General features: G+C 46.9%; 1 protein-coding gene across 9 annotated transcripts in view; it reads right to left on the reverse strand.

Annotated features, from left to right (window-relative positions):
- Positions 1-13,482, reverse strand: part of ABCC12 (ATP binding cassette subfamily C member 12) — a 75,112-nt gene that overhangs the window by 43,312 nt on the left and 18,318 nt on the right. For all 9 annotated transcript variants that reach the window (NR_171628.1, NR_171629.1, NR_171632.1 and 6 more), the window contains 4 exons: positions 9,494-9,642; positions 6,595-6,702; positions 4,266-4,544; positions 20-91 (listed from right to left, as the gene is read on the reverse strand). Coding sequence is in view for 3 of the 9 variants with exons in the window: in NM_001393797.1 (NP_001380726.1) it covers positions 20-91; positions 4,266-4,544; positions 6,595-6,702; positions 9,494-9,642 (608 nt within the window). In the remaining 6 variants the exon portion in view is untranslated. The remainder of the gene's footprint in view (positions 1-19; positions 92-4,265; positions 4,545-6,594; positions 6,703-9,493; positions 9,643-13,482) is intronic.

Below are 13,482 nucleotides of genomic sequence, written 5' to 3' on the forward strand. Positions count from 1 at the left end.
CACTCATCACACAGCTTACCTGTCCTAGGAGAGCTGCAAGGAGGGAGCTCTTTCCACTTCCCACATTCCCACATATTCCCAAGATCTTCCCCTGCCAGAGAAACAGAGATGGGACACAGTCACTCTCTCCCACTTCTTAGAGGGTCTGGCCCAAAGGTGCCACTCCCAAACTATGCTGGTCAGGCCAGGCGGAGAACAAGGGGTCACTGCAGGCTCTGGGGCATGGCAGCTGCAGCCACACCACCCTGGCCCACATAAACAGCCTGGGAGGATGCAGGAATGTAAGTCTTAATTAAGTGCTTTCCCTTGTGTGGCATAGCCAAGCACCCACAGGGCTTCTAGAAATCACGTAAGATCACTGGTGTGAAACAGCCTTGTGCTGGTCTGGGAGACACAGGCCTTGAACAGGAAGGCTATTCTGTGCCCAGACTCCAGAAAAGCAAATCTAATGGGATGCAAAAGGCTGTACAACCCAGGGGGACTAGGGTAGCTTTTGAAGTATGGACATCTAGGGGCTTTTCAAAAATCTGGAATTACTGAGAAGTTACACTATTCTAACATTCTACAGCTCCAGATTTATTAATTCAACCAACAAATCATTATCAGAGCCTGCTATGTGCCAAGCACTGTTCCAACCACCAGCAAGAACAGCAATGAACACAACAGGCAATGGCCTGAGTCTACCCTCATAGAACTTACCTTGTAGTCAGGGGAAGATGGACAGGAAGCAAGACAAGCAAATGAAATGTGGGGCAGGCACATCTATGCTTGCCATGGAGAAAAATAAAGCAGGGAAGAGACAGGGAAGGGACAGGGAGTGGGCTAGAGGCTTGGGGGTACAAGGAAAGCCTTACTGGAAAGGTAGATGTCTTAGCTTGAGTTTTCCCAGAAACAGACCTTGAATCAAGGATTTGAATGAAAGTCACACTCACATTTGGAAGGTGCAGGAAATTCCAGTAGGGAAGAGGAGAAGTGATACAGGAAAGGGAAGGTGGCCCATAAAGGGCAGCCTATTGGGTTGGCTCCCTAACAGAATATCCTACACAGGAGGCAAACGGAACTCAACCCTGCAGGGAAACTGCAGGAAACTCTGGGGAACTGACTATAGCTTTGTCCCACCCAATGGCAGAGGAGGTGGGGTATTGATGCCCCAGCAGTCATTGTTTGAGGGCTGCTCTCTAGTCTGTGAAGGTCTTTATGGAGGTGTGCAGAGCCCTTGGGCACGGATGCAGATAAGGCAGTTGTAAGATGGCCAGGAAACACTTAGAGGTCCAGGGCACATGGGCAGGGACAACATCTGCCACAGGTGACATTTGGGTAAGACGTGAAGGAGGTGAGGAAGGGTGCCATGGGGTATCTGGGGAGAATCATTGCAGGCAAACAGCCCATGTGGAGACTGACGTGTAAGCATGTCCACTCATGTTCAAGCAGATATTGCAATACTGCACTTGGAGCATCTGAGAACATTCTCATGTAGGCCTGCTCCCTGCAATCCCTTAGGGCAAAGATGCCCAACATGGGGCCAAATATGGCTTTTTTCCCACCCCAAGCTAGACCAGAAACGCCCATCCCCTGTCTGCCATTCTCAGCACATGAGAGTCGCTGCCTGTCATCAATAATTCCTTAAACAAGGTCTTTGCTGAATCCCAGGCACCTTGGGATAAAATAGTGATCCACACAGAGGTCTCCCTGCCTTTGTGGAGCCCACATGGATGTAAATTTGGTTGGCTGAGTGCAACTGAGTTCAGATTTCAGTTAAGTCCCACTGAGTGCCACCTACTTTGCCTTCTCGCCACTCTCCCGGTGGAGCACCTGACTTCCCCCATGCTGCATTCCCATTTGCCTCCAAGAGGCCTCCGTGAACTTCCTGTGTTCTAAGGACTTTCTGGCCACACAATGACTTTGCTAATGGCTATTCCATATGTCAGTGACTCTGGAATTCCTGCCTCATGAAATGAAGCTGAATCTATTTAATTCCCCTAAAAGGACTTCAATGAACCGGGGCATTAAAGAGACCGCAGATGTGATGCAGCCTCACCAGGTATTTGGCTGCCCTTTGAGTCCTATCCACTTCTTGGGGCCAAGTAAGAAGCCTTCTAGATTCATCCTTGTCTTTAGCAGAAAATCCATGAGGCCTGTATCCTCTGATGATTCTCCCAACAAACACTGCTGGCCACCTCCAAGCCAGGAGCTGGGCTTCGGGATAACGACATAACTGTGAACAAAAAACCCTGACCCCATGGAGGATCCAGTCTGATGGAATTGAGGAGCTAAACTTGGAAAAACCTGGATGCCCTGTAGAACACTTGAGGGCAGCACTTAAGCTGGACATAATTGTTAAAGAAAAAGGCAACAATCATACCTAACATCAGCTAAGACTTACTATGGGCTTAGCATTTTTATGTGGTATCTGAGTTCCCCCACCACCTTGTGAAATGGGTACTTCTATGAAATGCATGGTGCTGGTAAAGAAACAGAGGCTTAGGGAGCTTCAGCAAGACATCCAAGGTCAAGCAGCTAGGAAGTGGCTGGGCCTGGAACTGGGGTCCCTCAGGCTCCAGAGGCATTGCATTGCCCCCACTGCTCCAGAGGCAACAATGCATTGCCCCCACTTTATCTTCAATTTATTCCACAAAACATTGACTGCATCCTTGAGGCAGGAATTCCAGAGTCACCGACATATGGAATAGCACATTAGCAAAGCCATTGCGTGGCCAGAAAGCAGCGTCCTTAGAACACGGGAAGTTCACGGAGGCCTCTTGGAGGCACATGGGAAGGCAGGGCGGGGGGAAGTCAGGTGCTCCACGGGGAGAGTGGCGAGAAGGCAAAGTAGGTGGCACTCATGGGACTTAGCTGAAATCTGAGCTCAATTGCACTCAGCCAACTAAATATCGTTTCCAATGAATACGTGGCAGACAGCTTTGTTAGCTATGAGAGGTACCACTCTCACACCAGCTATTGAGCTTGACATTGCATAATAAATAAGAACCTCTCCTTCTATAGCGCTTGCACAGGGAAAGAGTGAGTCAACAGGATGAGAGATTAAAATACCAGGCACAAGATTAATGTTGAGCCCTCTGCAGCAAAATCAACACTGCCACCCTGGGAGTCTGCTGCTGAGTTCCCAGAGCAAGAAGGAGATGCATGCAGGAGATGCAGGAAGAGGCCAAACATTCCCTAAACCCACAGCGTTGCCTGAAATCTCCATCCCCCAATCTTGAGGGGAGAGAACAACAAACAGACTCTGGCTGGCTTGGCTGGCTTAGCCCTTGGCTGGGTTGCTTGTTATCTCAGTTTGCTTTTTACAAGAGGAGTTTTTGCCGGTGGTTAAGAGCCCAGACTCTGCAGCCAGGTGCCCTGGGTATGAAACCCTCCTCTGCCACTTGCTAGCTATGTGACCTTGGGCAAGCTATTTAACCCTCTTGTGCCTTAGGCTCCTCAACCATCAAGTAGGGGCAGTTATGATGCCTGGTTATTGAAGTGGTTAAGTGAGTTTATTATGTACCTGGTAAATAGTAGTGTTCAAAATTATCAGTCATTATCATCTATCATAATATTCCAATGTGAAATTAAGAACATATCTAGGACAGGAGCAGTGGTTCATGCCTGTAATCTCAGCACTTGACCCAGGAGGCCAAGACAGGAGAATCACTTGAGGCCAGGAGTTCGAGCCTGGCCTAGGAAACATAGCAAGACCCCATCTCTACAAAAAATAAAATAAAATTTAATTTAAAAATTATCCCGCTTTCCCCTGGTAAATAAAAAATTTTAAAAAATTATCCGGGCATGGTGATATATGCTTGTAGTACCAGCTACTTGGGAGGCTGAGGCAGGAGGATCACTTGAGCCCAGGAGTTTGAGGCCGCAGTGAGTTCTGATTGCACCACTGCACTCCAGCCTGGGCAAAAGAGTAAGACCCTGTCTCACACACACAAAAAGAGAACAAATCAAAAAAGATTTATGAAACCTAGTCAGTTCAAGCCTAGCCACCTGGAGTGGACTGTTCATTCAAAACTGCAACTGACTCTAAGAGAAGTACTGCAAATCAGAATGAATATAACCACCGTCTTCTCCACACTTGGAGAGGGGGCCTCCAATGTTCATGTACATAGTTTTAAAACTGGGGGAAAAATACAGGGACTCTGGTTAGAGACATCCCATCACCACCTTCAGCTCTAACTGAACTGTATCAGACCTGGAGAAGGCTGTAGCTATGTAATGCAAGGAGGAGGGCTGGAGGCCACACCTGTGCAACACACACCCACCTTTCTCACCACAAAGCTTATGCTGTGCAGAACCGATTTGAGGCTGTCACTTTGCTCCTCTGGGCCAGTGGCTCCCTTGGCTGGTGGACTCCTCTCACTGTATGCCTCTGACCTCTGTTTCTTGCATAAATGCCTTTTCTGGTTCTGCAATTTCTTTGGGGTACTTTTCCTGCTGGCTTCATGCTCCCATGTCAAGGTGGCATTTGCTAAAAGCAAGACAGTATCTGGGTCTTCTGGTTGGGTGATGTAAGATGGGGGGCTTTTATCTATGAGAATTTTCTAAGATTAAAGAGACAAAATTAACTGAGCAGATGTCATCCATTTGCAAGAATCATCCCAATGTATCTTCTAATGACCCCAAATCACAATTTTGGCTATTCTAACCCACCACATCCAGGAAAGAGGTTCTGAAATTATTCCCCCAGGAGAAGCTGCAGCAGAAATAGTCCACTAGCTCATGCTATCTGGGACAGTTGCCTCTTTAACCACAAGGCCTATGTGGGTCACCCACACTGGAGAATGCTGATCCCAGCCACATTTCACCCTTGTGCCCAAGACAGTCGGTCTTACCAGTCTTTGGGCAGTGGACTTCACTGCTTGGCACTAAATGCTTATGAAATCAAGGTCATATGCTCAGTCTCTGCTGTGTCCTCTTCCGAGGCCACTCAGCCCAGTTCAACAAAGCATTTGCTAAGCCCTAACCATGTGCCAGACTTTGGGGTAAACAGCAGAAATGCAAATATAAATAAGACACAGTTCCTGTCCTTGAAGAGATTACAGTCTGGAGGGAGATGAGAACATGCACGGATCGTTTCTGCAAAATGTGATGAGGACAAAGCACTGTGACTGCCAGAGAAGGGACACTTGGCTCTCATTCTCGAGGTCCATGCACTTGGTGCTAGAGCTGGGTCTGTACAGGTGTTGTACAGGCAGAGATGAGAAAAGGGAAAGAGAATGACAGCATTCTACCTGAAGGCCCAGCATGGACAAAGGCAAGGAGCATGCAAAGCCATGGTTTGTTGGGGTGGTAGCATGAAACAAGCAATTCAGGATTACTGAGGCACAGAGCTCAAGTTGGGAAGGGAAGGGGACACAAAACTGAGAACCCACAGCTGGAGAGCCTGGAGGGGACAAGGGTTCAAGGATTTTGAGCAGCTGAGAATAAGTATTGGTAATCATACCAATATTTTGACAGCTCTCTTGGGGTTGAGTGCTATACGGACTTGAGAAGAATGTTAGAAAAAGAAAGGTTAGTTCATAAATCACTGCGCTAATCAGATGAGAGATAATGGAAGCCTCAACTGAAGGCAATGGCAGTAGGGACAGAGCGAAGGTTGAGGAGTCAAGAAATGCCATCCTTTATCTAGTCTAAGGAGCACCTTTACTTTTTTATCTGATATCATAATACATGCAATTAATGTGATGGTGTCCTTATGTTTGTTCAAAGACTGATAACTCAACAGTGTACCTTCCAATCCAATCTTACAATGGCACCCCTTAAAATGGAGAGAATACCATAATCAGGAGTTGACTTAACAGGGTTCTTGACTGGTTGGATGTGTATGGTAAGGGAAAAGAGGAGTGCATGAATCAGGATGCTTACGATGACTTCTGGATTTCTGACTCGGGTGAGTAAGATCATTCAATCAATTCATAGATGTTTGAACAAGCTTTCGTGTTGACACAAATGCCCTTCTTCCCTTTCCTCTCCTCAGTTGAACTTTCAAACCACTTTATTTGCCCTTCTCAAATGTCAATTATATCCTTATCATGTATAGAAATTCTTAGAGTGCCTGGGTCCCACACTGGAACAGAGGCTCTTGAGGATAAAGCCTCTCTCTTCCTTATATTTGCATTTCCCATGTCTTATATATAGGAGGCACAAAGTAAATCTTTGATGAGTGAATAAATGAATGAATAAAGGGACTAAATGAGTGCATAAATGTAGGGACCCCAACATCCTCTTCATCACTTCCATCACCATGCCCATTAAAGAACAAACTAGGTAAAGTGGGGATGACTCAGAACAAAACCAACCTCACTTGTGGAACACTTAGGATGTATAGATTGTTTAGGAAAAAGAGGATCAGGAACATCTTCTTCATGTACAGAGATTATCTCGTCATTCCTACAGACAACCTATAAAACTCTGCCTGCTCTGTCCTTCATACACATTTATTCATCTAACTCTGAATGGATGCCCTCCTCCCAATGTCAACTCAACAAGCGACCCAGCTCTCCAGCAGCTTGGTACAGCCTCCACATATCTGAGCATTTTCCCACCCCAAAATGAGATCTCTCTTCCCTACTCACCCAGGGTTAGTTATACCTTCATTCTCCTTAGAGAGACATTCGCTTCAGCCATTGCTTTGATGGAGAAGGGCAAGATTGCAATGGAAAACTTCATTACATTAAACATGGCAATCACACTAAATGCCTGAAGAACAAAAGAGAAGTATGAGGGTTTAGAAGGAGAAGTCACGTTGGCTCTAAACCGTTATACACATGGGGTTTAAACTTGCTGAGATGAGAAATGGTGGCATCGTTGGAATGTGCAGAGGAACAATCTTTTCATTTCATGGCTCAGAAACCATCGGTTGGCCAGCTGGGGACAGCAGCATCTTAAATCTATTTTGCTTTGGGATTTTCACCAAAATGGTGGCAAGTATATCCCCTTGTCTCTGTTGATACAGAAGGGAAAAGGTCTGAGGCAGGCCACTAACAGAATACATTTGGCAATCTCCATCCACACTGCATCCTCATTTGAATCTAGACTATTCACTCGAAGCCCATGCAGACTGTCCTAAAGCACCCCCTGCTCTCAGTTCTTCAGAGGCATCTGACCCTTTAGAGTTAGACTACACCACACCACAGCCTCAGGCATGCAGCCGGAGGCTCCCTGGAGGGACCTGCTTGCCCCTGGGGGAAGCTGGAGGGTGACCTCACTCTCCTGCTCCCAGGACCTGGCCTCCATGCCCTGCCTCCCCATTCACCACACAAGGCCAGATTTGAGAGCCTTTGGTCAACTGTGGTTCCCCCTCACCCTTCCCTCCAAAAAATCACCTCTGTTCATGGGGCCTTCCTTGCTGTGCCCTGCATAGTGGGTGGTTAATATTCTACAGCCTCAATGAAAACAAGCCTTCTCCCTTCGGTTGGTGCCCCGGGGGTACATGATTTCATCTCTCCAATTTCATCTTCTCATCTGTCCAAATTGTAATTAGCAGCCGCTCCCTAGCTACCCATTTAAGAAATTAATAATACAACTTTCTTCATCAAATCCTGAGTGATCCTGCCTGCTGTTAAATGGGCCCCATGGACACGGCCCCAGGCTTCAACTAATCCTAGTCCCTTCATTAAAAGGATAATGAAAGATGCTTCTATCACATCTGGTCCTAAATACATCCTCAAAGGGAACTCAGTTCTTCCAGGTCCCAAAGCACCACCTTGGCTCAGGAAGCCCAGGCCTGGCTGACAGAGCGCATGGGCAGCCTGATGTGACTGAATACCCTGGGGCTGACCAACTCCTGACATGACCCTAGCAGAGAAGCGACTGCAATCAGTTCTGAATCCAAAGGACCCAGAGCTTTGCAAATTTGGTTTTGGTCTAGATTCCCTCTAAACTATCATGTTGGAAAATATGAACTACATGCTCTCAATTTGATTTCAAGTTGATTTGCTTGATATGTTGCTGGAGGAAAAAAATAGTTTTCTTTTTGGTCTGGGATCACAGAGAGCCACAATAATTGGGCAGCGTTACATCCAGCCTTGGTGTATCCTTGCCATTCAATCTGGCTTTGGGCTCACAGCTGGGCTGAAGGCCCTAAAGTGTGTCAGAATAAACTGTGCATGAGTGATTGCCTGCTGAAGAACCAGAGAAAATAAAAGCAACTCACCAAGAAACACAGGGCAGTAATGGGATTAAACACAGGGCAGTCATGGGCCCCACAAAGGATGGCTCAGCAAGACCATTCTGGCTTTGCAAACGTCACCTCTTTCCTCCCCCGTGAGGTCCCTGATTTTAGGTGCAATTCTTCCTCTATGAACTTGCTTATTTCCTTCTCTCTCTCTCTCTCATTTTTTTGTTGCCTTTGTTGGCTTTCCTCCAATTACTTGGTTTAATATTTAGTTGGTTTTTTCTTTATTTAAGCCAGGAATCATTTTCCCTCTAGCTTAGCATTTCGTTATCTTTGGATGTCCAGGCCCCTTGTAAAGAACTTGAACATCTCACATTCATCCCAGTTCTCCCTCTAAGGCTTTCAATCCTCATTTGCCTAGCCCAGATGAGAATCAGGCTAAGAAGAATAGCTGACACTTGTATAGGACCTAAGAGCCTGAGATGGTTCTACATGCTTTACACAAAATAACTGATTCAGTCCTCACAACAGTGCTGATTGTGGCTATTATCGTCCCATTTGCAGATTACAAAACCGAGGCCAGAGAGGCTCAATGATTTGCTATAAGTCATAGCTACTAAGTAGCAGAGTCTGGATTTAAACAAGGCAGACTGGGCTCCTAAGCCCAGACTTTGACCCCAACACCACTACTTCTCTTAATACCTATACCTCCTCCCTCCGAGAAAATTTTCTCAAACTCTCCTTCTTGTAGTGTAAGTAGATAAAACAGCCAACTGCTTGTTTGGTTTCCATTTTTTTTTCCACACTTAAAATTGCATTCCAACATTAACTATGACCCCTGCCCAGCCATGGACGTGATTAAGAACCGCTGCCAGGCTCTCCCGGGCCCCTTGTCAGCCCAAGCATTTGTTTTTAAAAGTTGGAGTTGGCCCGGCACTGTGGCTCACGCCTGTAATTCCAGCACTTTAGAAGGCCAAGATAGGTGGACTACCTGAGGTCGGGAGTTCAAGACCAGCCTGGCCAACATGGTGAAACCCCGGTCTCTACTAAAAATACAAAAATTAGCCAGGTGTGGTGGTAGCAGGCACCTGTAATCCCAGCTACTCAGGAGGCTGTGGCAGAAGAATTGCTTGAACCCAGGAGGCAGAGGTTGCAGTCAGCCGCCATCACGCCACTGCACTCCAGCCTGGGTGACTGAGTGAGACCCTGTCTCAGAAAAAAAAAAAAAAAAAGTTGGAGTTGAAGTCACATCCTGTGGCCTGCCATGATTGGATGTTCCTAATGCCAGTATTGAGCGACGGTAGGAAGGGCTTCCCACCTGGGACTTGCCGGGGTCAGGTTGTGAAAGAGCCTCGATCTGGAGCCAGCTCTTACCACGGGTGCGGTGAGTTTGCGTCTCAGGAGGATGTGGCAGGATAATGTCAGCACGATGGCTATGGTGGACACGATGGGGGCCAGGGCAGAGTTTCCACTTTGGACAAATCCAGCTTTTTCCAGTAATTTTCTTTCCCTCCTTCTTATATCTGCAAAATAGAACACAGTCCAAGGTGGTCTCATTTTGCATGTCGAACACTAGCATTATGAAATGTATTAGCCCTACTTGGTCCTCTTCCAGATGGGCGCTCATGAGTCCTGTTGTGAAGTTTAAATGAGAGGAACCACAGAAAGCCCCGGGCACAAACCCAGCAGGTACTCACAGCTCGGTACCTGTCAGCTGCCGTAAGTGGATGGTGTCCAACTTCCCTTCCAGCCCTGACACTCTGTGTGTCAGAAGCCATAAACTCAGATGCTTAGAAGGGCCAGGCAAGTACCATTAATGAAGGAAGTGGGGCCAGAGAGGAGGGAAGACCAGAGCGGGGCTCTGCAGCGCAGCAGAATGGAGAGGAGAATCAAAGGGGCAGCCTCTTCTCAGTGCAGGGGAGGCTGGTGCTACCATGAAATGCAGCAGGGACCTCTCCTAGGAGCCTGCTCCCCACCAACTGCAAGTATGGAAACAAAGGAAAATCTTGAGTTCCTTCAAGGGAAATTCTAGGCACCCAGCTAACCCCTAGAAGTAAATGAGTAACTTGATAAGCAAGAAGGTAACAATAGCCTGAAACAACAGCCAAGGAAGTTAGAGTCACAAGAATGTTTGGTTCCCTATAGAAACTAAAGGTTATATCTTAACATATGTCCTTGAGTTGTATTTCAGAAAACCTGGACCCCCATCCAATTGATCCATTGGCACACAGACCTCAGAGAAGGGGGAGCCGAGGACAGAGCTCTGACTGCAGTTTTTGTTCTAAATTTCTTCCTGAGGGGCCTGGAGGAGGTCACGCCCAAAGGCCGGATCCAACACTCTTTTCTGCTAACTCCAAATCTTTAGACAAAGCTTCCTTTCCTTAACCAGGTGCAAATCAGAAAATCTTTCAATCTACCCATGATTTATAAGCTGCCTACTTTAAGATATCCCACCCTCAGCCAGGAGTGGTGGCTCACGCCTGTAATCCCAGCACTTTGGGAGGCCGAGGCAGGTGGATCACGAGGTCAGGAGATCAAGACCATCCTGGCTAACATGGTGAAACCCCGTCTCTACTAAATATACAAAAAATTAGCCAGGGGTGGTGACGGGAGCCTGTAATCCCAGCTACTCGGGAGGCTGAGGCAGGAGAATGGCATGAACCCAGGAGGCGGAGCTTGCAGTGAGTCGAGATTGCACCACTGCACTCCAGCCTGGGCGAGAGCGAGACTCTGTCTCAAAAAAAAAAAAAAAAAAGATACCCCACCCTTTCAGGCCAAACCAATACATAATCTCCATGTATGAGTTACGATTTTGCCTGTAACTTCGCTTTCCTGAAATTTAGCCCTGCCTTTAAAAACCCTTGCTTGCAAGCCACTGGGGAGGCCAGGTCTTAAGCATGAGCCGCCTGATTCTCCTTGCTTGGCACGCAGCAAATAAAGGCCCTCCTTTCTCCTGCGGCAAAACCTCAGCGTGGATATTTGGCCTTACTGTGCCAGATAAGCAGGCCACAGTTCGGTCCAGTAACAACCAGATCGTCAACCATTTCAAAGTCTGAGGTCCAGATTTTTATTTATTTATTTATATTTGAGACAGAGTATTGCTTCGTCACCCAGGCTGGAGTGCAATGACATGATAGAGCTCACTGCAGCCTTGACCTCTCAGGCTCAAGCGATCCTTCCACCTCAGCCTCCTGAGTACCTGAGACCACAGGCACATACCACCACACCCAGATAATTTTTTTTTTTAATTTTTTGCAGAGTTGGGATCTCCCTATGTTGCCCAGGCTAGTCTCGAATATTTAGGCTCAAGCAATCCTCCCATGAGGTCCAGATTTTTCTGAGACATCTCCCTATTTTTAAATGTTGGGAACTAAATGAAAAAACATTTTTAAATACTATACTGTATGGGGAGAAATAAAACACATGTGCTGGCCTGAAGGCACCTGCCTGGTGTCCCAAGAATAGACACAAAAACTCAAGAGTATTCTCCCCTTCCTAAGTCCAGAACATGCCCACGGCTCTGCAAAGCTCACAAATTACATTCAAGCCTCCTTCACCTCCTGTTTTTTGTCCTCAACCCCAATTCCAGCCTCCTCTGCAAAAGCCCTTTCATATCCACACAGGACAGCTCCAGATGTTCTAATGGCGTGATCACTACATGCCAGGTGCTCTGCTCAACACTTCACAGGTGCTTTCTCATAAGATCGTCCTCACCACTGCATGATGAGAGAGAGTCTGTTATTTTATGCCTTTTTGACAGGAGAGCAAACTGTCTTCGAAGGTTTGCTTGCGCAGGTTTGCTTCACTGAAAACTTGCCTTTTCAGTGATCAGGGCAGAATCGAAGCCCACTTCTCCTGGGATCCAAGCTCTGCTATCCAGGTGCCCTTCCCCTAAAGAACATCCAGCACCCCCTAGTCCCCAAGAGCACCCTCTTATCTCCACCTCCAGGCCTCTGCTCCTCCCTAAGTGGGCTTCCCCAGTTCTCTGTGCGTCCCAATCCTTCCTATCCCTTTGGCCTACCTGAAAGCCACTTCTGCAGGGAAGCCATTCCCAGTCTCCCCAACCCAGTGTGCTCCCCCATGGAGCATCTCTGTTTCTCTTGTGGCACTTCCTCCATCTTCCCCCATAGAATAACGTGAATTCATGTGTTCACTCACTTAAGATATTTGAACCTGATGTCTACTACATGCCAGGTGCTGCACCTGTGTTTGGAGAATAGAGGAGTGAACAGGGTCTCGGCCCTCTTCCAGTGGGATAGATAGACAAGAAAGAAATAAACAATTAAATAATTACAAATTGTGTTGAGTGATCTGAAAGAAATGAGCAGGATGAAGTGATTGAGAGGTAGGGCATGGACATGCTTGGAACTGCAGCCCAGAAGTCCTCTCTGGACATTGAGAAGAGACCTAAAGTCAAGACAAAGTTACTGTAAACATCCAGCAGGAGCGCACTCCAGGCAAAGGAAACAGCAATTGCAAGGATCCCGAGGCATGAACGAGTGTGGCGTGTGGTTCTAGAAACAAACTAAGGCAGACACCGCTAGAGCTGAGTTTCCTAAGGTTACAGTAAAGTGTGATGATGATGTCAGAGAGGTCACCAAGGGCCAGATCATGTCTGACCTAACAGGCCATATGAAAGAATTTGGATTTCCTTCCAAAGACCTAACTTTGAATAATCTTAAGTGTGATAAGAAGCCACTATTTTCCAACAGGGGAGGAACAGGATCTGACTGACATCTTTTAAAGGTCACTTTGACTGCTGAGTGCACAATGGATTGCAGGAGGGAGGGGGAAGGCAGGAGCAGTGCCTAGATGTCTTGCATAGTCCAGGAGAGAGAGGATATTGGCTTGGACTGGGTGGGAGTGGAATGGAGACGAGCAGATGGCTTCCGGATATACTCTGAAGGTAGAGCCAACAAACTCGTGGCTATTTTTGAGCTAAGTTATCTTATCCTCCCTTACTCATAAAAGCAGGAAACTTTTCCATTTCATTTGTGTAGCTCCCATGGCCTTGCACAAAGTAGGAACTTGATATATATTTATTGAACTAAATCGACAAGTTAAATTAAGTTGAAATCACATGGAATCAAATTTAATCAAATCAAATTAAATTGCACTGAAGTGAACTCAGAGTGTGAGGATGTGTTTCTGGGTTTTCAAAGAGGGTCCCCTAGTGCTGCTGGGGTCCCAACCTGGGGCACTTCCTTTGGCCAGCTCAGAAGCAGGTTCTCTACAGCCACTCCCTAGAGGGCAGATACACAGCTTTGGCCCAATTCCATGCTGGTGCAAAAGTGTAATTGTCCATCCAGACAGTCAATTGTAACAGTGGTTCAGATCATTAACTGGTGAACCACCTGAGTCTA

The sequence above is a fragment of the Homo sapiens genome, chromosome 16 (assembly GCF_000001405.40).
Source record: "Homo sapiens chromosome 16, GRCh38.p14 Primary Assembly".
NCBI classification, from domain to species: Eukaryota; Metazoa; Chordata; class Mammalia; order Primates; family Hominidae; genus Homo; species Homo sapiens.